This window comes from Homo sapiens, chromosome 7, assembly GCF_000001405.40.
Source record: "Homo sapiens chromosome 7, GRCh38.p14 Primary Assembly".
Lineage (NCBI taxonomy): Eukaryota > Metazoa > Chordata > Mammalia > Primates > Hominidae > Homo > Homo sapiens.
In genome coordinates this window covers 148795759-148820256 of record NC_000007.14, presented here as the reverse complement: position 1 = coordinate 148820256, position 24498 = coordinate 148795759, and the positions used below count along the sequence as shown (strand labels likewise).

The following is a 24498-nucleotide window of genomic DNA, read 5'->3' as shown; positions in this document are numbered from 1 at the left end:
TCCGTTTTTTTGACATTGTAATTTTCTGTGGCAAGACACTATAAGCTCTCACCAGGTTCTTGGATTGGGTATGATTCACAGGAATTGAATGTTAGTAATCTGGGGCTGTCCTCTTTATCATTAAAAATGAGTTTTTACAACTGGTGACAAGCTGATTGCTGACCTTTCTTTAGAAATCAAGAAATTGTATGTCAGAATTAAAAATAGGAAATCTGATTTAATTGTAGAGGGTCTATCAACTGCTTAGACAGAGATAGTAAGATTCAATTTAAGTAAATGTTTATAACCATAGTTATGCGCATCAGTTTTACTTGCAAGGAGAAAAATGAGAAATCACGACTCATTCCAGAATTTACTGTTTTTCCTTCCTGCTTAATGGTTGGAGGAGGAGGAATGGAGAATACGTTGTGATCATTCAGTAAGAGCCTGAAGGAAAGTTGTATGAAGTAACGTAAACCACATATTAGCAAGATTATAATCCATTAATTGACTTTTCCAGTGGAACTGGAAGAGTGAAAAAGTAAGTATTTTATAGTTATATTAGATTCTTTGTTTCATTTATTTTGCAGCTTTTCATGCAACACCCAACACTTATAAGCGGAAGAACACAGAAACAGCTCTAGACAACAAACCTTGTGGACCACAGTGTTACCAGCATTTGGTAAGACTTAGTGCCTAATTATTGCAGAGGGTACTTGAGAGGACTTTGCACTTTGGTGGAGGTGATCAAGTCAGCGTTAATGTTGTCTGCACCCATGCTGTTATGGGCCATATGATAGACAGAGCTTTCTCACCCATGCTGTTTCTTCCATAGCTCATGTACTGCACATTTTAGTCCTTCATTAATGTGGTATTATTCTTTTTAAAATCTGTGTTATCTCTTCAGCAACATTTCAAGGTCTTTAGGATCAAGGACTTTTATGCCTTCCACAAAGTCTATGAGAGTTGCAAGGCACAGATAGTCCGCTTAGAAAGCAGGCATGCAGTAATCATACGCAGTAGATCCCAAGCCCCTCTCATAGCCATATCCCTCTACTTGAGTTTTAGATGCACTGTCATTTCAGCTATGTGATAGGTTCCACAGATTTTTTTTTTTTAAATGATGGAGAACAGGTAAGGGGTTAGGAAAATATGAGGTAGAAAAGTTGTTTTTACGGGTACTCTCTTATTTTTACCATTTCCCCTCTTTGAACCAAGCCACTCCTACCTAGGAACTAAATGGGTATATATTGCCTGTTGGATTTTGGACAGAAGATTCATTGAATGGCACCTGCAGAAGGTATCCTATTTTTAAGCAATTTGGTTTTTGTAGAATGAAGTATAAAACTGTTGGCTGCTGTCAAACTTCTCCCTTCTATTTCCACTAAAAAAATGGAATTCTTGAGCACTTGTTTTATAATATTCTTTACAAGGCAGAATTTTGTTTGGCTCATCTAAAATGTTTCTGTGGTCTCTATAAACCATGCTCTTACCATTGTTTTATACTTTGAGACTGGATTATTGTACTTCATAATGCAAGATGTAACCCTCACAGTCTTATTCCTGAAGTTCCTTTCATGTCTTCCTGTGGCTGTGTATCCTTCACAGGAAAAAAAAAAATGTTGGATGTTTTAATAGTAAGACAGGAAGTGACAAAGTCAAGCATGTTTGTGTTTTGTGTTCTTGTATAGTTGAAATATTAACACGAAGAGGTATGCATTATCTTAAACTCTGCATAGGTAGTCTGACTCCGTGCACATTAGGTATATGATTCTTTTGTAAAGATTCACTTTTAAATAGACTGTATGTCCATAGAGATAATTACCTTTATTACATGAAGTATATTTCATACTTTATCTTCTTATATTTTAACTTAATTATAACTAGCTAATATATTTTACAAATTCACAATATAGAACTGTCTTGCCTGATTTTTGTACCATTCTAGGAATATATAGAACCCATATTTCTCTTTCTGAAATTTTCAGACTATCAAAAGCATATCAAAACAAGTATATTAGACATGCAAATGATTATTTGTGATAAATGGATAATGTGATACATTTTTTGACTAACCTGGCTTATATAGTATTTTTTTTTCTCTTCCATCAAAATGAGTTTTAGAACTTTGCCCTGATGTTGACATTTTTCATTTCGTAGGAGGGAGCAAAGGAGTTTGCTGCTGCTCTCACCGCTGAGCGGATAAAGACCCCACCAAAACGTCCAGGAGGCCGCAGAAGAGGACGGCTTCCCAATAACAGTAGCAGGCCCAGCACCCCCACCATTAATGTGCTGGAATCAAAGGATACAGACAGTGATAGGGAAGCAGGGACTGAAACGGGGGGAGAGAACAATGATAAAGAAGAAGAAGAGAAGAAAGATGAAACTTCGAGCTCCTCTGGTAAGACACGTCTAATAACTGGGTTTTACTGTTCTGTGAAAGTTCGTGTTGTGAGGATTAAGGATGTATAATGCATTGAATAATTTTCTTAGTTGGTTAGTTTCAGTATAAAGACCAGAGTTATCTCAAGAATGTGTAGCTGTGTTGTTTCTGTTTCCTGCCTGCACCCGTACCCTAGCTTGTGGTGTTTGCCCTGCTTGGTTGTTTGAAAGCTGATGATGCACTTTATTCTCATTCTTTGTGCCATTTTCTTTTTTCGATCTTTCTCAGGTAGGGAATAATGAAATTTGGATCATTTGGTTTAATATTCTTGACGTTCTGTGAGTAGTTTTGTTGGAAAATGTGAACTACGATGGGTTAGTGTTTTGCCGATTGGATTTGAGTTGTCCTCATCTTTTCGCTTTTTTCTTAAGCACACCCTGAATTGTACTTCTTAATATTATTTCCAATCATTTCTTGACCAGTGCTTACATTTGGTTTTGTAGAAGCAAATTCTCGGTGTCAAACACCAATAAAGATGAAGCCAAATATTGAACCTCCTGAGAATGTGGAGTGGAGTGGTGCTGAAGCCTCAATGTTTAGAGTCCTCATTGGCACTTACTATGACAATTTCTGTGCCATTGCTAGGTTAATTGGGACCAAAACATGTAGACAGGTAAGATATCCGATAAAAATGTTGTTAAAAGAGCTTCAAACATAGAGATAAAACTGTACTCGTTGTCCAAACAAAGAAAATTCTTGGTTATTACTAAGCTCCTATTCATCTCCTAAAAATAATTTTTTTTTCTTCCCAAGAGGGAATTGAATGAAAATTATTCTCCAGGTATGTTACAGAATTTCCCCAATGTAGACTTTTAAGGTTAGATAGCAGTAGCTTTTAAAAGCTAGTAAGAATTGAAATTTAGCATCACAGTTCTTGACCAGAATATAATTACAGCTACCCCTAATGTGAGGGTAGGGACAGCGATGTGTGTTATATCCCCAGCATCTAGCAGTGTCACAGAAGAGACAAAGACATTTTTCTGGTATGCATGAGTATAAGAATGGTTTGCCTAAATAAGACTGTCCTCATGGCTCTGTGACTGTGCCTCTTGTCAGGTGTATGAGTTTAGAGTCAAAGAATCTAGCATCATAGCTCCAGCTCCCGCTGAGGATGTGGATACTCCTCCAAGGAAAAAGAAGAGGAAACACCGGTGAGTCTGTCATGAAGCTCCTTAGAGAAGTCAACATAGATAGACACTGCAGGCAAGGCCCTTCCTAAGGGCTGTTGTTGGTTTCTACTTAGTCTATTTTTAAAAAACCTTAAACTGCCATCAAAAACAGAACTATGGAATCTTATTTCCACTGGGAATTGCTAGTATTTTTCTATAAGAATACAGCAGCCTTCAGTATATTTGGTATGTTAAGAGTCATAAAAATTACGGTTACCAGACTGCATTTGGGTTAAGAAAAACATATTTAGTAGCTTTTGCAGTAAAGGTTACGTAAACAATTACTTTAACATCATGAAATGTTCTGTGTTTCTGATGTGAGCTCTGGGCCAGTTTTTAGAAGTATCTTTTATTCCAGGAGCTTGAATTTCTAAGTTGTGTGGCATTGCATTCCGATACTCCTAATGGGTACCCTACTTTAAGCTTGTGTGAATGTTATTTTCACCTTAGCGAATGTTTTCAGGCTGATTTGATTTGTAAATGTAGAACCAGAAAAATTGATGAGTGGACTATCTGCTCTAATCTCCCCATACCTCTACCTCACATTTTTAAAAATGAGAAACCTAATTGGGTAGGTAAGGGTGCAGTTAGATTATGCTTCTTAAATTGTGTACAGGCTCATGTTACATTTTCTTACTTTAACAAAAATAAGTGTAGGGCCAACCCAATTTAGAATTTTTTTAAAGTCAAGTTTTTATTTTTATTTTTTAGGCTTTAGGAGATGCTTCTGAAATTTTGGTTGAATTATTTCTGACCACGTAGTTCACTTGCTTGGTTTATGATGCCTGAAATAAGAGGAAGTGATCAGTGTCATCCACATCAGAATAAATCAACAGGCAGACACACCTGCTGCTTTGTGCAGCATTGGGAGCTCAGGAGTTCTGACCAGGAGTCATGGATGAACACAGGAAATGACGTCTTGCCACACCTGGGGCAGCCTGAGCCATCAAGCTGTTTGAGTTGCTTCAAACTGATGGCAAATATAAACTGGGCAGGGCATGACTCTTGGCTTTAACGCATTCCTGTATTCATGGCACAGATAGATCCAGTTAAGCAGCTCTCTGTTGGATTTGTAGCTTCCCGCAGAAATTTGGTTTAATTTTCTTTGTGTTTTTGCAGGTTGTGGGCTGCACACTGCAGAAAGATACAGCTGAAAAAGGGTTAGCATCTTTCCATTCCTCTCATTATTAGCTTAACAATATCTGCTTTGTTTTCATTTGTTTTAGAATAGTAACTGGATTAGAGCTTGGGTTATTCTAATATAATTGCCTTCTGTATGTTAAACCAATTTGAATGGAGGACGTCTACTGATGAATCCCCAGTCAATTCTCTTCTGTAAAGTGGAGGCTGACTGGAAGGTGTGAGTCCGAGTCAGTTGAAGGAGAAGTGCTTTGGGATGGGACTGAGATGTAGCCGTGCTTTAGATGGAACTCATAAGCACTTGGGGGTGGGAGAGTATTTTTTGCCATCGTTGTGGAAACCGGAATATGTGTAATGTTATGCATTCAGTAAAGGCAGGCCAGCTACACTCCACAGGTAGTAGGGAAGAATGTACTCGTGTTAATTGTGTATGATCGTTTCCATCTCCCTGGATTCATTGGCCTGCATGATGTTATCTTTACTCAGACGGCTCCTCTAACCATGTTTACAACTATCAACCCTGTGATCATCCACGGCAGCCTTGTGACAGTTCGTGCCCTTGTGTGATAGCACAAAATTTTTGTGAAAAGTTTTGTCAATGTAGTTCAGAGTGTAAGTATTTGTTGCTTTGATGCAATTGCATGAGAACTAAATAGGTCTTTGGTTAGCAATTTAAAAAATCAAAAATAAGAACATGGGAGCACTCCCTTGTTTACTTGACGAAACTCATCAATTTGACAAGTATTTATTGAGCCCCATACCTGGCCCTGTGCCAGTGGCCAGTCAGTCGCCTGGGTGTTGTGTGTCTGTGTGTGTGAGGCAGGCAAAGTTGTATTAAAGGAACCTGAATTTTATTTTTTTCTTCTTTGATCATTTAAATTAAGTTGTATTAAAGTTGGCACAGATTGTAAGAGGAATCTAGAAGGAGCTACCCAAATAATTTTTGGGCACCAGAAATCGTCAGAGTTAGGAGGGTTTTAGTCTTCAGATTAAAGGAATGTAGCATAAACATAGTAGATTTTTATAATTGTTTAATGAGACTGCACATGAAGCTTGGGTATTAAGGGAGTGTTTAGAACTAGGGGCTATTGGAATGGTCAAGGACCATGGATATTGTTCCATCCAGACCCTTTATTCACACCGACTTTAAATATATACACTATTTAACAAATGAAAAATGGAAAAACAACTCAGTGGTGGTCTTTTTCAGTGCAAACAGCTATAACTTCGCTGTTAATACTTCCATTTCCTTGTCTATATAGTAGGGTAATAAGGTGGTTGTGAGGGTTGAGAGTCAGTGAGATGCCCAGTACAGCCCTTGCCACGTATCTTTCTGCAAGTTTTTGCATACGGTGATGAGTGAAGAACCTCCAAACCTCTCTCTGAAGGTCAAAACCGCTTTCCGGGATGCCGCTGCAAAGCACAGTGCAACACCAAGCAGTGCCCGTGCTACCTGGCTGTCCGAGAGTGTGACCCTGACCTCTGTCTTACTTGTGGAGCCGCTGACCATTGGGACAGTAAAAATGTGTCCTGCAAGAACTGCAGTATTCAGCGGGGCTCCAAAAAGGTGAGCAACAAGTCACTTCTGGAAGATTGTTTGTAGTTAGCTATTTAGTGATGCAAATGTCAGGATTGCCTTAGATGATTTAGCTGGGGCAAAAAGTAAAAGTGATCCTTGAAAGGTGCAACTGATGAGAAAGTGTTCATAATTTTCTCTGGGTAATGCACCCTTGGGCAGTCTCTTCAGTTTTATATAGAGCACCATACTCTGATAGTAGGAGAAACCAGCAAATTCTGAGAAGTAGCCATTCATGGTATCAGATTTAGGAATAAGAGGTATTTTTTCTACCTGTTTAATAGATTATTTGAATTTGTCTTTTAGTTAATAGTTTATCTAGTATCCTTAATGCAAATAAATGGTGATTTCTATCAAAATATAGACTCATTCTCATCAAAGAGTATTTATAGATTCCTTGCTATGTAGAGTAAAAGATGAAATTTCCCATGGCAGGTTTTTATAGACTTACTTCCTGTTTGTTTAATAACCTTGAAAAAAACCCAGCTAGGAACTATATATTTTTAGTCTGGGGAATTGTATGTAGGTGAGTTAACTCTATCAGCCAGGAAGTAATGATTGAGCAAAAGACACTTCAGCAGCATGTATTTGGGAAATTTCGTATCTTTTTTTTTTTTTTAGGGCAGATGATAAGTTCTTTCTTCAGTCAGTTCTTTTTATAATAATAGCTGACATTTATTAAGCATGTAAAAATAGGCACTGTTGTGAGTGCTTTAGTGGATTTGTTCATTGATTCTCCTAACCCTGTGAGTGAGGAGTAAGTGTTAACCCCCATTTTACGGGTAAGGAAACCCAAAGTCACAAGACTTGTAAAGGAGCAGGAGATCAAATCCTCCAGGCTCCCATTAACCTGCTCTTATGCTCTGTGTGTGTGTGTGTGTGTGTGTGTGTGTGTGTATGTGGGGTGTAGAGTAGACATATCTTTGTTGTTGGACCATTTATTTATAATTGAGAACACACTTCTTACCAGCAAGTCCCCTTCTACCAGAAATTCTGCTCCAGGCAAAACATTGAAGTTCTCTTGGTTTTGTTTGTGTCTTTGAACCAAAGTCTGTGTTTATGGCAGAGAGTTGTGCAGGGTGGTGGGCTTTTTGTTTTTAGCTTTGACTTTTTTCTTTTCTGTTAGACATTTAGATGATTTTACTCTAGGCAGTTATATGTCCATTTAGGTCATTGGATCACAGTGACTCTGGTTCCGTTTCCGATGGCATACCTGCTCAGACCTAAAAATCTCAATTTCCCCCCCAAACAACTTACCATTGTACTCCTTCCTCACTTTGTTCAGAAAGTGGGCAATTCTATTCATACTGACATGTCCTCTTTGTAAGACATTTTTTAACTCTTAAAAATGTTAAACTATGTAGATACCTTTTACCAGTTGGGTTTCATTTGCATAGCAGTATTTAGCTAATTTAGTTTCTGATCAGAAGGCTATTTGGGAAGTTCACATGACAGGTGAGTGGTAAGATGGTCCAGAATAGGAATAGATAGGAAGCCTTTGTAAAGGTCACAAGAAAATTTTGGATGAAAGCATAATACTGAGCCGTGATGAAAAATTGGCATATGTTGGGGAACACATCCCTAAATACATAATTTATAGCAATGATCATCTTGGCATTTCTGCTGAAAATAGACTACTGGACTGACAAGATCATGATAACACCTCCCGGTAGTTTCTTGTGTTATCCTGAGGAGGTGGGGTGGAAGAACAAATCCAAAGCCAAGCTGCTATGGGCTTCAGAGGGAACCAACGCCAGTGAAGAATCAGGGGGTGTCCTGGGGCTGAAAATGGAATAACTATTAATAGAATCACTTGGGGAAAGTAGAGGGAAAGGTATGGAGAGGAAGAGTGATTTGGTGGTGTCCTTATATTAAATTCAGGTTGAAAGTGAATTACTCGAGGAAATCAAGGGCTGAAGATACAGGGAAGCCAAAAGTGCAGCAGGCCTAGAGCACCTTGCTGAACGATGGTCATTGCAGAGGACCAACACCACCAAAAGGTTTTCTGTAAGACAGAGATTCTTATCTGCTGTATAAGGAAAACATAATGTTCATAGCCATTCTCAGCAGCTTTCACGTTGACTGAAGCTGTGTGCCCAATTACTGCCTTAGAACAAACAGGTCTGAGGATTTACAGTGATAGCTTTTGTTTTCATTCTGTAGTCTACTTTGTCCCCAGTCCATTTTCACCCTCCTTTTTTGATGATGTGATTGTGTTTTATTCTCTAGCATCTATTGCTGGCACCATCTGACGTGGCAGGCTGGGGGATTTTTATCAAAGATCCTGTGCAGAAAAATGAATTCATCTCAGAATACTGTGGAGAGGTAAGGCACTGATAACCTGTATTCAGGTGGCATTGTATATACTAACTTTACTTTATTTTAGATTGATTTTATTAGGTAAGTCTGTGGGTTTGATTGGAAATGAATTGCCATAAACTGCCTTTTCAGCCTGGACTTCTGCATGTTTGTGGATTTGCATGCTTAGTAACTGGATTGTGCTGGGCGCGGTGGCCGACTCCTGCAATCCCAGCACTTTGGGAGGCCGAGGCAGGTGGATTGCTTGAGCTCAGGAGTTGGAGACCAGCATGGGCAACATGGCAAGACCCCATTGCTACAAAAAATGCAAAAATTAGCCGGGCGTGGTGGTGCATACTTGTAGTCCCAGCTACTTGGGAGCTGAGGCAGGAAGATCGCTTGAGCCTGGAAGAGCCTGGGAGGTTGAGGCTGCAGTGAGCCATGTTTGTGCCACTGCACTCCGGCCTGGGCGACAAAGTGAGACCCTGTCTCAGAGGGGAAAAAAAGCAAAACAAAACAGGATTGCTTGGTTCTAGCCACATTTAGTTTTTCTCGTCTAGGGACAACAGGGAGAACAAGAGCTTTACCATAGAGTGGCCTGCTTAATCCACAACCTAGTTGATAAGGACCTAGAAACAACAACGTCATTAGTTATTCACCTTTTAAATTGTCGACAGTGTTACCGAAAAATCATAGGCCTAGCTTCAGTTTGGAACCAGCTCACCCAAATTTTTTTTTTTTTTTTTTTTTTTTTTGAGACAGAGTTTCGCTCTTGTTGCCCAGGCCGGAGTGCAATGGCGTGATTTTGGCTCACCGCAACCTCAGCCTCCCGGGTTCAAGCGATTCTCCTGCCTCAGTGTCCCGAGTAGCTGGGATTACAGGCATGCGCCACCGCGCCCAGGTGATCTGCCCGCCTCGGCCTCCCAAAGTGCTGGGATTACAGGCGTGAGCCACTGCAGCCGGCTTTTTTAAAAAACTCAGCAAAAAGACTTTGGTTCCTCACTTTCTCCAAGGATAATTACTTCAGGATGTGGAAATATTTCTGAGTTGGGGTCCTTAGTATACAGTTATTCTTTATTACTGCGCAGACCGAATGGGAAAGAGAACTTGGCTGTAGTGACCCTTTTTGTTGCGTTTTCTCCAGAAGGTCCAGTATTCACTCTGTGCGCTTTTGTGTGTTCTGTCAGGCTTGATCACCTTTATCCAAAAGAATTTTCTCCTGTGTCTTTCTTTTTAGATTATTTCTCAAGATGAAGCTGACAGAAGAGGGAAAGTGTATGATAAATACATGTGCAGCTTTCTGTTCAACTTGAACAATGGTATGTTTCAGAGCTGGGAGGCAGTGAGTTCCTGAGTTGCATGTGGCAGCCTTCTGCCGGCCGAGTGTTCAGAAACGAGGGTAGAGGTCAGTGAGGTGACCAGAAGGAGGATCTCCTTAGAGGCATGGGGGGCTGCTTGCTTGAAAGGAACTGGAGCAAGGAATTCCTCAGGGAGCAGATAGACTAGATGTGCAGGAAACCGCCTCTCTGGAGTCCCGGCTGTCTGTGGGTGGCACTATCCCAGCATCTGGCTGTGAAGGGGACGTTGTGCTCTTGCTGCTCACCTCACCTCTTGTGTTCAGGCAGCTCAGCACACCTCCTCCAGTCAGTGCCTCTGAGCGGGGAAGGAGGGGAGGAGCACTGCATTTGCAACCATCTTCCAGACTCCCCTGGATATTCTCAAAGGACTGAGAGGAAAGGCAGCTGCTTTCATAGCTGATGTTCTGGGGTAGAATGTAAGGCTGTGTAGGGATGTTTCTGGTGGGATTATGTGAAAATGGAGGTAGGCTTAACATGTAAGATATTCAGAGAAACTCTTAGTTGGAACAAGTAGAATAGGTTTTTTTCTATGAATGCTTTATAGACATTATAATGAAAAAAACTAATTTTAAATGTGAAAATGCCTATTCGTGATGTTTGGAAGAATTTTGTCAGATTTTTTTTTTTTTTTGCTATGTTTTGCTCAGTAATGTATGTTTATAGTTGATAATTAATAGCTTTTGAGTCAGATAACCATCTTGAATTATAGGTGATTAATTTTAACCTGGAACAATAGTGTGTTCTTCCAAATGTCATTTCTTACTGAATGAAGCTGCTTGATTTATTTGCTTTTGCAGGCAAACCCTGAAGAACTGTAACCAGTTGCATTTACAAAATCATAATAACTTGGTTTACTTATAACTGAAATTATTCACTGGGCTGTGCTTACTTTTTTCTTTTTAGATTTTGTGGTGGATGCAACCCGCAAGGGTAACAAAATTCGTTTTGCAAATCATTCGGTAAATCCAAACTGCTATGCAAAAGGTAGGTACCTTTGACGTGAGAATTGGAACTCCCTTTTCAGTCCTGTGATGATGGACTTGAATACTTCTGGGATAGTTGTTTGTTATGTGAACAAGTCAGTTAACCCCCCGTGGCCCGTCTTCATGCTCACTGACACCAGTGTGTCTCTTTGCAGTTATGATGGTTAACGGTGATCACAGGATAGGTATTTTTGCCAAGAGAGCCATCCAGACTGGCGAAGAGCTGTTTTTTGATTACAGGTTGGTAAAGTACATTTCTAGCATGATCTCTAAGGGCTTTTTCTACTGGATTGTGAACTCTGGACAAAGGAGGGTTTTTAGTTCTTTGCTTCTTTTGATGGGTCACTTTGCCATGAGCATTAGTGGGGAATTAGGTTACACTTTCCTGTTATGTATTTATTATCCATTTATATATTATACAAGGCATGCTTATTTTTAAAATAGAGTAAAATCCATGCAGAAAGCCCCATTTCTCACCCTGCTGTTGACAGCTGGGTGAGTCCTAGACCTTCTCATATCATGCCGCATGCTGCATGCTCACTCGTGGAGCGTTTTCCAGATAAGTGCGATCACACTGTCCTATAGATTTTTCTGCAACATGGTTTTACTTGACAATATACTATGCATATCTTTATGGATTAGATCTACTTAATTTATTGTTTGCTATAATACTTATTACACATATCATTACCATTTTAAAAGGGGCTGTTGGCAAATCGCTGTCTGATCACCCTGTGGGGATGCCTGGGACACGTGGGCCACCAATGGTATCTGTGTGGTTAGGCATTAGGCTGCCAGTTGACACTGTCAAGCTCTGTGGGATACATTTAAGTCAGCCATTGAATACAGATTTAAGTGCAGTCAGATGACTGTCTAGTTAATGAACTCCTGTAGCCCCGTGTACATCCCATCCAGAAGCTGTCTTTGAGTACTGTGTTCTTGCATATTCAGGCTGGCCTTTAATGGCTGTTGCACAGCAGCGAGCTCTCAGTGAGGCAGACAGGGTCTGAGTGAAGGGCCCACTTTAGCAAAGGCCGCTGCCTTCACTCCAGGCTGGCTCTGAATGAAGAGTGTGGGGTGGAGCTTCCTTGGGATGACCCGGTGGCCTCACCCCCCATGGTGGGCTTCTTGTGCTCCTCTCTGGGTGTCCGCTGCACTCCAGTTCTTGCTTCACCTGGGGGAGCAACTGGCGGGCTGCTCTTTGGCCCTCTTTGCTATGGTCATCATTTTTTCCAGACCATGGTTCTATTTTGCCTTCCCAGCGTCAGGCCTAAGCATCCTGATGTGGACCAGCCTTCCTGGGACCACTTGCTTCAGAGGCATAGGGGAGGCTGGTCAGGCTCTGGGAATGCTTGTAGACAGGTTTGTTCACTTCAGAACTTGGCAGCGTCTCAATTAGATGGCCAGCAACACAGACCTATGCATTGCCTTCTATGAATGTGCCGTTATGCAGGCAGCTGTGTAATTGGATGGGTTTTTTTTTTTTTTTTTTTTTTAAAGACATTTTAATGCACCCACTATCTTCAGCAGGCTTTGTTGTGTTAAGTCTCAGCACATGTTGGATGGGTGGCCATCCAGCGGACATCTCCTTCCTGTTGTTTCAGATACAGCCAGGCTGATGCCCTGAAGTATGTCGGCATCGAAAGAGAAATGGAAATCCCTTGACATCTGCTACCTCCTCCCCCCTCCTCTGAAACAGCTGCCTTAGCTTCAGGAACCTCGAGTACTGTGGGCAATTTAGAAAAAGAACATGCAGTTTGAAATTCTGAATTTGCAAAGTACTGTAAGAATAATTTATAGTAATGAGTTTAAAAATCAACTTTTTATTGCCTTCTCACCAGCTGCAAAGTGTTTTGTACCAGTGAATTTTTGCAATAATGCAGTATGGTACATTTTTCAACTTTGAATAAAGAATACTTGAACTTGTCCTTGTTGAATCATCTCTCATAACGTGTCAATAACTGCTTTCAGGACTGCTCAACAAAAAACTTTTAAATTTAACTCCTTGGGTTTTTTAGTTGTCTTTGTATGAATCTTGATTTAACTAATACTGCCTGTGAATATGTGGAAGACATATATGAAGAACACTGCTGTGCATCCTGAGGGCTTACCCAGTAAAGGGCTTGATCTTATAGACAAGACCAGGGTGGGTACGTTCCAGTCAGCTGTGCAACCTGGAGAAAGAGATTTAACCTCCAAGTCTGTTCCCCATATATAAACTGACAGAGTAGACTTTTAGGTTATTTTTAAGAACGTACCTAGTTCTAAACTCCATTAGTCTAGATAGAGTTCTTTAGAAACAAACACAATATAAGTTGGGATTCCTTACCTACCTTATCACAAAAGGTGATTGATAGGTATAACCAAACTGTAGTTTTATATCTTCTCAGAGGTAAAAATCACAAACTCTGAAAGCGTCAAGGAAACGACATGTACCTTGCATGCCTTATGATAATGTGGTTTGTCCCAGAATTTGAGGTAACTTCCCTGCACCCTCCCCAGGTACATTCACCAGCAGCATCATGGGAACCCTGACAACCGCTGCAAACCAGTCCATACTGTCAGTTACTTAGCAGTTGCCTTTGCTACAGTTAGATTTTTATTTACAATGTGGTAGTATTAATATGAAACCTAATTAAATGGACTCATCTTGCTTTCCAGTTCCACAGCATTTGCGGGATCAGGTCTCTCTCTGACACATCAGTGCACAGGCGCAGCAACTTGAGTCCTACAGTTAATTTGCCACTTGATTTGGGATTGAGGAGATCCCTCCCTCAGCCTCGTCCCATGGTTTCTTAATGACAGTGCTGATCTATTTTACATCTAAATAACTATCTCCACTCTCACCCAGAAAACGGTACCATTCACTTCAGAGCTTGTTGCCCTCGATGCCCTCATGTTCCGCTCGGCACTCAGCAGGACCCTGGGCAAACTGGGCAGCCATCAATCTCCTGAGGCAGTTACTTCATTATTTGGGTTAGGTCATTCTCTAGATGGCTCACTGGCCTTGCCTAGGCACAGGCGCATGGAGCCCATCTGTTCATCATCGCCTGTTCATGAGACCCCAAAGATTACTTGGGCTCAAAAGTACCTGTTGACATGGCTCATTCCAGCTACAGCCCTCAACCCATCCTCAGAGGAACAGCTGGGAAGCAGATCCTTGAGGCCTCCAGTGAGCTCAATGTACCAGAGCCCCAAATGCGTAGGAAAGACAAGGTGGCATTGATGGAAAGCAGTAGTTTTTGAGCCCTGTCGTGTATTCTCATTGCACAGCAAGCTTTTTATACCATGATCTGAAATGCGCTTCTCTAAAAGCCTCTTCAGTGACGTCCGTGAACACAGATTTTCTGAACAGAAATCCTTGACGTTAATAACCCATTTGATACAACCTTCTATCAAGCTTGTCTGGCCTGTGGACAGCCGGTTGCATACAGCCCAACACAAATTCGTAAACTTTCTTAAAACATTGAGGTTTTTTGTGATTTTTTTTTTTTTTTTAAAGACAGACAGGGTCTTGCTCTGTCACTAATCAGCCTGGAGTACAGTGGTGTGATCTTGGCTCACTGCAACCTCTGCCTCCCAGGTTCAAGCGATTCTCCTGCCTCAGCCTTCCGAGTAGCTGGGATTATAGGCATGGGCTACCACCCCTAATTTTTGTGTTTTTAGTAGAGATGGGGTTTTGCCTTGTTGGCCAGGCTGGTCTTGAACTCCTGACCTCAAGTGATCCACCCGCCTCGGCCTCCCAAAGTGCTGGGATTACAGGTGTGAGCTGCTCCGCCCAGCGTTTTTTTTTTTTTTTTTTAAGCTCATCAGCTACTTAATAGAAGGCTTGACATATACAATAAGCGGGACCTCACCCACAGACTAACTACTGTGGGTAAAGTTAGAGGCACCTAGAAGCTGTGCTAGGTTTTCATTATTGTCTGGTTCATCCCATCTCCAGTCTTCACCGTATCCATGCCAGGTCCTCACTTCCACTTCTGCCCAAGATGTTCAGCAACTCCACCAAAAGTCAAATCAAATGTAAACCCACACATTTAAGCTTGTAGATAGCTCATCAAGACTGGATCCGAAATGTAAACATTTTGAAAACAGTATTCTGTTAAATAATTCTTAATGGAACTAGTTGAAATAATTGCGTATCCACTCAATCCCTTGATATAAATAAACAATTCCAGTGGGGGCTACACATGGATACCTGGCATTAGAAGTGGTCTACACTCACCTGTTACGGCAAGGGCATTGTTGGGGTTGCCCCTGGACAGGGTCATGAACTGGACAGATGAACGATGATGGTATAAAAAATGAACCTGGGCAGCCAAGTGACTGTGATTCCTACGAACAAGAAGGTGTCTTCATTAGAAGGGGGATTCAGTTCAAATAGCTGAAGGCCAGCAAGCATGTTTTCCAACTGGGGGTGGTCATGCTAAACTTCACAGGAAAATTAGGTACCAATATTCATCAAGGAGCAGCATCTTAAAATGCTGTCAGTAAAAATACATACATGACATTACAGGCACCTGTTGGTCCTGTAGCCACTTTCTTACCCTTCAGATTCCTGTCATGTGGCGTGCCTGGCCAGCATCCCGAGTCTATACCCTACGCTTAACAGAGCCCAACCAGGAGACTTACCCTCCCAGGCGCCGAGATCAAGGTCCTCCCTTCCCTTGTTCCCTTAGGTCACAGCAATACATACTCAGCCTGTGCATCTGGTCTTAGTGCACAGCCCAGCTCTGATTAAACCACAATGAATTTTTCTACAACCCAGGAGGTAAAATATTGATTTTATAAAATATGAGTTCAAGTTGTCAATAGATTAAACCTTTGTTGCTGTGATACTGTTTCCAACCTCTTTGGCCATGATTCCAAGATAGTAAGCCTGGTCTCAGTGGTAACCACCACACCGTGTAGACCCCCACTAGGATTTGGCAGCAAATAGTCCCAGATGTTTGGTGTTCTACAGACAGGCTCCCCTATACTTCAACAAAGGGTAAAAGCAAGAGTGACAATGTGAGTACTCTGGGGCTGGATTAGTTCAGTGATACTGCGCTTGGTGGTTCTTTGTAAACTATTTTTGTTTTTTTTTTTTTTGACACGGAGTCTTGCTCTGTCGCCCAGGCTGGAGTGCAGTGGCACGATCTCAGCTCACTGCAACCTCTGCCTCCCAGGTTCAAGCGATCCGCCTGCCTCAGCCTCCCAAGTGGCTGGAACTACAGGCGTGTGCTACCACAACTGGCTAATTTTTTGTATTTTTAGTAGAGATGGGGTTTCACCATGTTGGCCAGGCTGGTCTTGAACTCCTGACCTCAAGTGATCCGCCGCCCAGCCTCCCAAAGTGCTGGGATTACAGGCGTGAGCCAATGTGCCTGGCCACAATTTTCACAATTACAGCTAGTAATTGTGCACATACAAGTATTTTGTCCAAGGAGAATAGGGCTTGAGAACTGGGAAGAATGTGACCTTCCTCCTGGGTTCTAACCATGCTGCCCACATATAGGGACTGAACACCCGGGGTTTCCAGAATTCTGGGACTCTGCCTCTAAGCGACTTACTAAGTTGTCCTGAAAAAGAAATGCCTCAGGGAATGTCTCCCTTTCCATGTCTTACCAAGAGAAATGCAGTCAACCTATACACATAAGGGACATTTGGACCTAAACATAGGTCTTGAATTGCCTTTTCTTTCACACCAGTCAAGACGGTACACTTACCCAGTGCGAAGGGGAGCAGGTAAAGGCCAGGAATCTGAAGGTGTGGGGCGAACTCCCGACTCACCCATCACTCAGCTCACCTTCGCTTACCGTGAGGAATTTCCATGGGACCAAGGTACTTACCCAAGTGCCTGCTTGATCCCGGAGGAACTGAAGAGACCAGCAAACTCATGACAATATTTCCTATCATTCGCAGGACTGAAATACACAAGCTCTTAAGGCAGGTCTGTGGTGTTCCTTTGCAGCATGCTTTTCTCACAGGCAGAATAATGGACTGGTTTGAGGAAAAGCAGGAGGTGAGCTTTACTCCCAGTCCGGCGCCACAGGGCAGGGTGGAGTTCGGAACACCAGCTGTCTCCTGCCTGGCTTCTATACTGGGACTCTTCACTAGATGGTCTGAAAAAGGGGATATACTAAAAAAAAGTGTTGAGAACCATTAAGTGCTGGGTTTATTACCATTTTACTTTTTAACCTGTGTAACTTTTTTGTGACAGGGTTGCTTTGTTGCCCAGGCTGGAGTGCAGTGGTCTTGGCTCTCTGCAGCCTCAACCTCCTGGCCTCAAGCGATCCTCCTGCCTCAGCCTCATGAGCGATTAGGACCGCAAATGTGCGCCACCAAGCCCGGCTAATTTTTGCAGAGACGGAGGCTCCCTATGTTGCACAAGGCTGAGCTCTCTCCAAGTGCTGGGCTTACAGCCGTGAGCTATCTTGTGCCTAGCCCCCCGGTTTGTTTGTTTTTGAGACAGAGTCTCGCCCTGTCACCCAGGCTGGAGTGCAATGGCGTGATCTCAGCTCACTGCAACCTCTGCCTCCGGGGTTCAAGTGATTCTCCTGCCTCAGCCTCCCAAGTAGCTAGGATTACAGGTACGCACCACCATGCCCGGTTAATTTTTTGTATTTTTAGTAGAGACGGGGTTTCACCATGTTGGCAAGGCTGGTCTTGAACACCTGACATTGTGATCCACCCGCCTCAGCCTCCCAGATTGCTGGGATTACAGGCATGAGCCATCGCGCCTGGCCCTTATCCTTTTACACTAACCCGTCAGATGTCCGAGTTTCCTGAGAAACCCCAGGAACTTCTACTTATTTTGTTAGCTATGCCTTCCCTCCACCTGGCTAACTTGCACTTGGGCACAGGCATGTGCTAAGGATGTTCATAATTTATCACTTGCAAAACCTGTGAGGTACCTGAAGCTTCTATGAGGAAAACAAAGTTACTGGGAGCAAAGCAGCATCCCTGACCGTGGCTGGGGAGTGAGTGACACGGCAAAGGAGACAGAAGGAAGAAGCTACACTGCGGCGCAGGCAGGCGACATGTAGGGTTCCTGGGGTGAGTGCTCCCAGGGCTCCCACGATGTGGTTACATCCGTGCCAGGAGAGGGTCGGGTGTGCATCCCCATGGCCCAGGACCTCCTCTCCTGGGGACACACTGGGGAAACATTCCATTCTCAGGGAGGAGTAACTTTTCTTTTTTCTAGACGGAGTTTCACTCTCGTTGCCCAGGCTGGAGTGCAATGGCGCGATCCTGGCTCACCACCACCTGCGCCTCCCGGGTTCAAGCGATTCTCCTGCCTCAGCCTCCCAAGTAGCTGGGATTACAGGCACGTGCCACCATGCCTGGCTAATTTTGTGTTTTTAGTAGAGACAGGGTTTCTCCATGTTGGTCAGGCTGGTCTCTAACTTCCAACCTCAGGTGATCCGCCCACCTCAGCCTCCCAAAGTGGAATAACTCTTCTAACAGTCAAGAACATGGTCCAATCTTCCAGCAGGTGCCTGAAAAGCAAGAGAACCTTGGCTCCCTGACGTAGTGCTGGTGCGAGGGTGAGTCCAGGAAGCTTCACCAGTCAAAGCTGACGTTTTGATCTGTCAGCTCCTCATAACCACCTGCTGCAACTGGAACAGAAGCATGGACGAGCAGGCTGTGCCATGTCCCATGCCCACGGCCGGAACAGAAGCGTGGACGAGCAGGCTGTGCCATGTCCCATGCCCACGGCCGGAACAGAAGCGTGGACGAGCAGGCTCTGCCGTGTCCCGAGCCCACAATCGGAGAAGCATGGACGAGCAGGCTCTGCCGTGTCCCGGGCCCATGCTCTCCATGCCGACTCAGACTCAGGCAGCAGAGGCTGGTGACGACCAGGGATCCTGGAGCCCGGCCACTCACCTTCAGTCCTACCTCCTCTACTCACTAGAGGCAGCTTCCCTCATCTGGCCTCAGTTTCCCCACCTGCAGAAAGGAGGATACTATTTCACACGTAGGTTGTCAGGGTAAGTCATTTAGTCCTTACACGTGTCAAAGAGGATGAGTGTGTGGCCACCGACTCTCACTGAATACAGTGACACAGTCCATTCAAGTCACCACAGAAGTCACAAAAATAAGCATGATTTCTTTTTTTAAAAAAAGGATTACACAGGGGCTTAAAATTCTGAGATCTTAAAAACTTTTCAATCCAAAGAATACGGCCCTTTGGAACTACAGGAAGACACTAGGAATATAAATTTGCACAATCATTATATCTTTTATTTACATATAGAAATTAGTAAAACTTAAAACAAAACCCAATGCGACTTGTACAGAAATCCTTTAATTTTCTTTATTTTCACACATTAAAAAATGAAACACACTATACAAATGGTTTTCATAGCAGGTTACATGTGGGTCCACTCAGACTTGCTCTCAAAGTGCTGCCAACGTGACAAGTGCTGCCAAGACGACAGCTGCGAATCGGGGAGCCCATGTATTGACTTAGTGCGGTAGCATGCAGCCCTCGGCACGGAGGGTCAGTCCCCGCTGTTCTTAAATTAGGGTAAATGGCGTTGGTGTCCGTATTTACAGACTTGAAATGTATCAATCCTGAGCAGTTCCGATGTAAATCCGAGACCAGCTGATGGGAGTCTTGGTCTCAGTTTTTAAAAGGGAGGTCCAATGGCGGCAGGCTGGCTGCTATGAACTTGAGTTGTTTTCATTCTTTCCAACATGAACTATTTGCTGCGGGTCACACAGTCAGACCCTTCCAGAAGGGTTAAGCCAAGTAACTGTAGGTGTCCTTTTCACCATCCACTCGCTCCAAATATTCTTTCTCAATTAGAATGTCAATGCATTTCTGGGTGTTATTTTTAAAAAGGAAGAGGTAGTGAAAGAGAAGAAAAACACAAATTATCATCAGAACAGAGAGAGGCTGCCCCCACCACAAATCTCCCCTGATTCGGAGCTCAGTGGGGAGCAGTGTCCCCGCCCCAGATCTGTTAGCATAGAGTTTTACTTCCTGGCAGCTAAGCCTTCATGCACGGAGCTCCCTGACACTTGCTGAGGGTGACTCCGAGTCCCTCCTGCACCCGCCCTAGGAACTGGAGTCAGGTGCTTCGGGAGCCCCGTGGGCCAGTCTCCCTTTCTACCACCAAAATCTGCCTGCCTCTGCGGCAGGACTCAGTCTCACAAGAAGAGGCCATGAACAGGGAACAGGGGACTGTGGGGAACTCCCTGAACAGCCATGAACGAACTGGCACCTGTGCCAAATGTAACCCAGGAGGGACACTGGGCCTCCTGCCTGTTGGGGAAGTCACCTGTCAATGCCACCCCTGAGTCTCTCCACTGGCTGTGACTTACCCAAGTGGTTTAGGAAAAGGAAAGTCCTGCTTAGTTACCATTTTAAACAAACCCAATCAGAAATAAGCAAAATGTCAATTATCAGTAGGCTACATAAAGGAAGGTGTGTTCCCATAACACAACACCCATAAAAGCAACAAAAACGACCCAGTGCTTCTCGATACCGCAATGCGACGAACCTCCCGAAGATACTGCTGAGGAAATTCTTACCAGGCACGGGAGTGTGTGCTCTAGAATCTGTTTATGTATCACGCAAAAGCAGGCAAAACTGTTTTATGGTGTCAGAAGACACGACAGTGATTTTCTATGGGACACAGGTGCTGGCTGGGGTGGGTGGGCTTCCGGGATGCCGGGCATGTTTCAATTCTTACCTGGGTGCTGATCACACAGTGTATTGACTGTGAAAGTCATCAAGCTGGCACTTCATCATCTGTGCACTTTGTATGTGTGTTTCAACAGTTAAACTGAAGCCGACTTTCTTTTATAGAAATCTACATACAAAGAAGCCAGCTCCCTCCTCCTTCATGCTACAGCAATCAATCCACTTTTTGCTACATCTTTTATCTTCTAAATTAAGAAAGGAATGTGACTGCTATGTAAAGTCCTGTACCTTGATCACAGGGACTCGAGGTTTGAACCTGGAGGACAGCTGAGTGAGGACCTCGCCAAGTAACTGCTGGTGTTTCAGAACCTTCCTCATCTTCATGATTCTCACGATGGCCGCCTATGCAACAAGATAAGGAAAAAGAAGTGCATTTAGAGCTGTAACAACGTTGTATTGATAGTTAAGGACAAGCTGCACAGAGGCTGCCGACGCCTATGCACAGGATCACAATTTCCTAACAGGCAACAAACATCCTGCAGGTGAGACGGGAGAGGGAACCAATTCTACCTGCCTATGTTTCAACTCTAACGTGGCAAACATTACAATGTTTGGGTCTTTTGAGCAATTTTACCTCAATAATTTAACTCAACCATAAAGCATTAAAAAAAAGGAGACAAAATTAAATCTTCAAGGCCACGGAAGCTGCCCATCCTCCCCACTGAAGAACTCTCCTTCCCCCTCATTTCAGCCAAACCTGCCACAATGTTTGCTTTCCAACATTTAGAGCAAGAGGACTGCCCTGTTTTGCCTGGTGACATAAAGGACTAATTCAGATAACAAGGCCCTGGCTCTCGGCCTTGCCACCTTCTGCCATCACAGACCCATTCATCTGGCAATCACTCCTTTGTCACCCCCGCCTACCCCCCACGGCCCGTCCTTGCGAGCCATCCCTGCGTGAGGGACAGCACACCTGGCACAGGCATACAGATAAGTCACCTGAATCAGTAGTTTGCGGTCTTCCTCGATGTTTTTGTGTGTGGTTTCTTGTTCCTGCTTCTGTTCGGTTTTCATTGGCACATTGATGTTAACCCTTAATTTCTTACTATCAAGAAAAATGAGGAAACCGATCACTATTATATTAAAAGGTAGGCAGTGAAGGCTGCTTTCTATTTTTCAACCTTTAAGAAGTGCCCTGCTTCCCTAGACAGAGGGGAGAATGTTGATTTCTGTGAGCTCTCCGTGAAAATGTCCTCTACCCAGCACTGGGTAGAGTCCGATCATGGCCTAGTTTCCTACTCGGCCATTAACAGGGACATCCACATTACAGAAAATCCAGGTCCCTAATCTGCTCTCCCAAATTTTGTCAAGTGAGATAAAATCAAGCCACTTGGACACAAAGGTCCAAACTTTCTTGGTGAGCCATTTAAGGAGACTTATTTGCCAAAATAATAAAAATCCCAGAAGCTCAGAATTGGAGAAACATCAGGCTCGCTGAATGGAATCAAAGGCCTACCTCACACTCCCAGCCTAGTGCCTGTCGCTTCACACTGAGTCCCCGGTCTCCCTTGGTTTGTAACAATACTGAGATCCGTGCTAGGGCTCCCGGGGGACGTGTCTATGGTCAAGGGCCATCTACTTATTAGATTTTTCTTACTTTTTATAACCAAGATATAATTTTATTAAGGTATCTGGCTTCAATTCCACCTCATCAACATTTGCATTTTCATCTTCCAAGACCTGTAAGAAAACAATTGTTACTCTACAATCTCAGGAAAAGGCTTCTTCTAGTGTAAGATAAAAGGGCGCAAACCTACCAATAGCTTCGACTTTAATAAAATCTGTAAAACTTGCGCCAAAATGTCCTGCAATTAAAGAGAAAAAGAGGAAGTTAAAGGGAAAATGCATTTTTCTTTGCAATAACCACCACAGGCAACCTCACAGTCCATTTTCCATTAAAAAAAAAAAAAAAAATCACCCAAAAGAAGAGTATGCTGGAAGGAAAAAAAAGTTGGTACTTCTTAGAAGTTCACTAAATTTACTGCTTCCTTCCACCCTGACTTCTAGAAGTGAAATCAACCCCTTTCTGGCCTTGATCACACAATAATAGAAATGAACAATTCTGTTATACTTAAATCAGGTTGAGTAACCCTTATCTGAAATGCCTGGGACTAGAAGTGTTTGGATTTCGGAATACTGCACTGGATTTACAGATTCAGCAGCCCTGATTGGAAAATCCGAAATTTCAACTGCGCCATGAGCATTTTTTTTTTTTTTTTTTGAGCATCATGTTGGTGCTCAAAAATGTTTGGATTGTGGAGCATTCTGGAATCTGGATTTTTGGATTAGGGATGTTGAACCTGTATTGGAAACCATGCACAATGAAATCTTCAGGAACTCTTCACTTCTTAAGTGCCTGACAGCTCATCTTGGACACTGATCATCACAAAAGAAATATTAAAGAGCTGCCCAGCAAGACTGAAAATAATGTCCTGCTCATGAGAACAGTGGGGCTCAGCGGCAGGCGACCTTGTCAACTTGCCTTTGATGCACTCAAGCACGTTGTGTGGCCTCTCATCTGTGAATGGTGGGTGTGGTAAACGCTTCCCAGCCCTCCTTCAGCCTCACAGCTTTATGATCCCATGAAATCCAAGGGACCAGCCTGAGGGCACTCACAGAGTCACACGGACTCTTACAACCCACGGGCAGTGGAGTCCTGTCGTCATAATGGGTACCCATTCTGGTCTGAGGATACGTGGTGAAAGCTGTCAAAGCGAGAGGCCTCTCTCTAGTCTAGTAACTGACCCAGAACTGCCAGCAGCCATTCGAATACTGCCCACTGCATCTAGAGCAGGGTGCGGGGGTGCCCACTTCCTGAGCCAGGTCTGATTGGACAGCATCTACTGTGGGCAGAAAGGAGAGAGCAGCGGCAGCCTCCTGAGGGAGTTCTAACACTGAGAACCACTCAGGAGACTGGCCTAAAATCCTGATCAGAAGCAGCCAAGCAAAGACCTGACAGTCCACACCTGTCAGCCCTGTCCTCAGGACCCGTCTGCACAGCCCTCCCCACAGTCTAGGGGGCAACCAGGCCTCCAACCTACAAAGGCACAAACTCATTTTGTTATTAGAATCTGAAGATATATTTAGGAGTAATTCGAAGAATGATTACAAAATAGTCATTCAAAATGACTTTCCTAACTCAGTCCATAAGGCCAGGATTAGCCAGACACGAAAACCAAACGAACATCTTGAGAAAACAATGGAGCAATATCCCTTATGAATATAAATGCAAAACTCGAGAAAATACCGGCAAGCTAAACCCAACAACATAGAAAAAGGATTATATACCATGACCAAGTGGGACTCACCCTAAGAACACCAGGGTGGTTCAACATCAGTGCAATACACCATATTAACAGACAAAAAAGCAGTTATTTTGACAGAGTAGAAAAAGCATTTTGACAAAATACAACACTCTTGCATGATACAAAATTCAATAAACTAAGAATAAAAGGGAACCTCTTTAGTCTGATAAAGGACATCTAGTAAAAGCTCACAGCTAACACCATCACTCTTTAACATCACAGTTAAACAGTAAAAGACTGGAAGCTTTCCCAATAAGGGCAGTAACAAGACAAGGATGCTTGTTCTTGCCACAAATTCTAGCCAGAAGAATCAGGCAAAAACAAAGACAAACAAAAAAGAAATAAAAGGCAGCCAAATAAGAAAAGGAAGAAGCAAAACTGCCTGTATTTATAGATGATATGACAGTATATCAAAAAACTCTAAGGAATCCCCCCAAAAACTATTTGAGCTAATAAATTAGAGCTAATAAACATTTAGCAATGTTATAGGAAACAGAATCAAAATACAATAATTAGTTGTACCTTTTTTTTTTTTTTTTTTTGAGACAGAGTC

General features: G+C 43.1%; 2 protein-coding genes across 49 annotated transcripts in view, besides 2 other annotated features; one reads left to right on the top strand and one right to left on the bottom strand.

Moving 5' to 3' along the window:
• The window catches only part of EZH2 (enhancer of zeste 2 polycomb repressive complex 2 subunit), a 76909-nt gene extending 64035 nt beyond the window's left edge, over nt 1-12874 (top strand). For 30 of the 43 annotated variants that reach the window (XM_047420002.1, XM_017011820.3, NM_001203248.2 and 27 more), the window contains 12 exons: nt 570-661; nt 2140-2380; nt 2866-3035; nt 3479-3573; nt 4711-4751; nt 5218-5343; nt 6120-6298; nt 8537-8632; nt 9843-9924; nt 10867-10947; nt 11102-11186; nt 12551-12874. In XM_047420002.1, coding sequence (XP_047275958.1) covers nt 570-661; nt 2140-2380; nt 2866-3035; nt 3479-3573; nt 4711-4751; nt 5218-5343; nt 6120-6298; nt 8537-8632; nt 9843-9924; nt 10867-10947; nt 11102-11186; nt 12551-12611 — 1349 coding nt within the window. In that variant the 3' untranslated portion in view covers nt 12612-12874. The other 13 variants (XM_047420004.1, XM_047420001.1, XM_047419999.1 and 10 more) reach the window with 5 other exon arrangements.
• Nucleotides 12017-12517: an enhancer, noted in NCBI's record as "H3K4me1 hESC enhancer chr7:148504832-148505332 (GRCh37/hg19 assembly coordinates)". NCBI's record gives its function as "activates a minimal SCP1, AML or CMV promoter by ChIP-STARR-seq in primed H9 embryonic stem cells {active_cell/tissue: H9 hESC(primed)}" and the evidence as "EXISTENCE:reporter gene assay evidence [ECO:0000049][PMID:30033119]".
• CUL1 (cullin 1) overlaps nt 19147-24498 on the bottom strand; it is a 103355-nt gene continuing 98003 nt past the window's right edge. For all 6 annotated transcript variants that reach the window (NM_001370660.1, NM_001370661.1, NM_001370662.1 and 3 more), the window contains exons 18-22: nt 22398-22445; nt 22238-22320; nt 21580-21685; nt 20869-20982; nt 19147-19755 (exon numbers count right to left, since the gene is read on the bottom strand). In NM_001370660.1, the coding sequence (NP_001357589.1) occupies nt 19675-19755; nt 20869-20982; nt 21580-21685; nt 22238-22320; nt 22398-22445 (432 nt within the window). In that variant the 3' untranslated portion in view covers nt 19147-19674. The remainder of the gene's footprint in view (nt 19756-20868; nt 20983-21579; nt 21686-22237; nt 22321-22397; nt 22446-24498) is intronic.
• Nucleotides 21021-22220: an enhancer, noted in NCBI's record as "MED14-independent group 3 enhancer chr7:148495129-148496328 (GRCh37/hg19 assembly coordinates)". NCBI's record gives its function as "activates an origin of replication core promoter dependent on BRD2, BRD4, P300/CBP and CDK7 cofactors, and independent of MED14, by STARR-seq in HCT116 cells {active_cell/tissue: HCT116}" and the evidence as "EXISTENCE:reporter gene assay evidence [ECO:0000049][PMID:35650434]".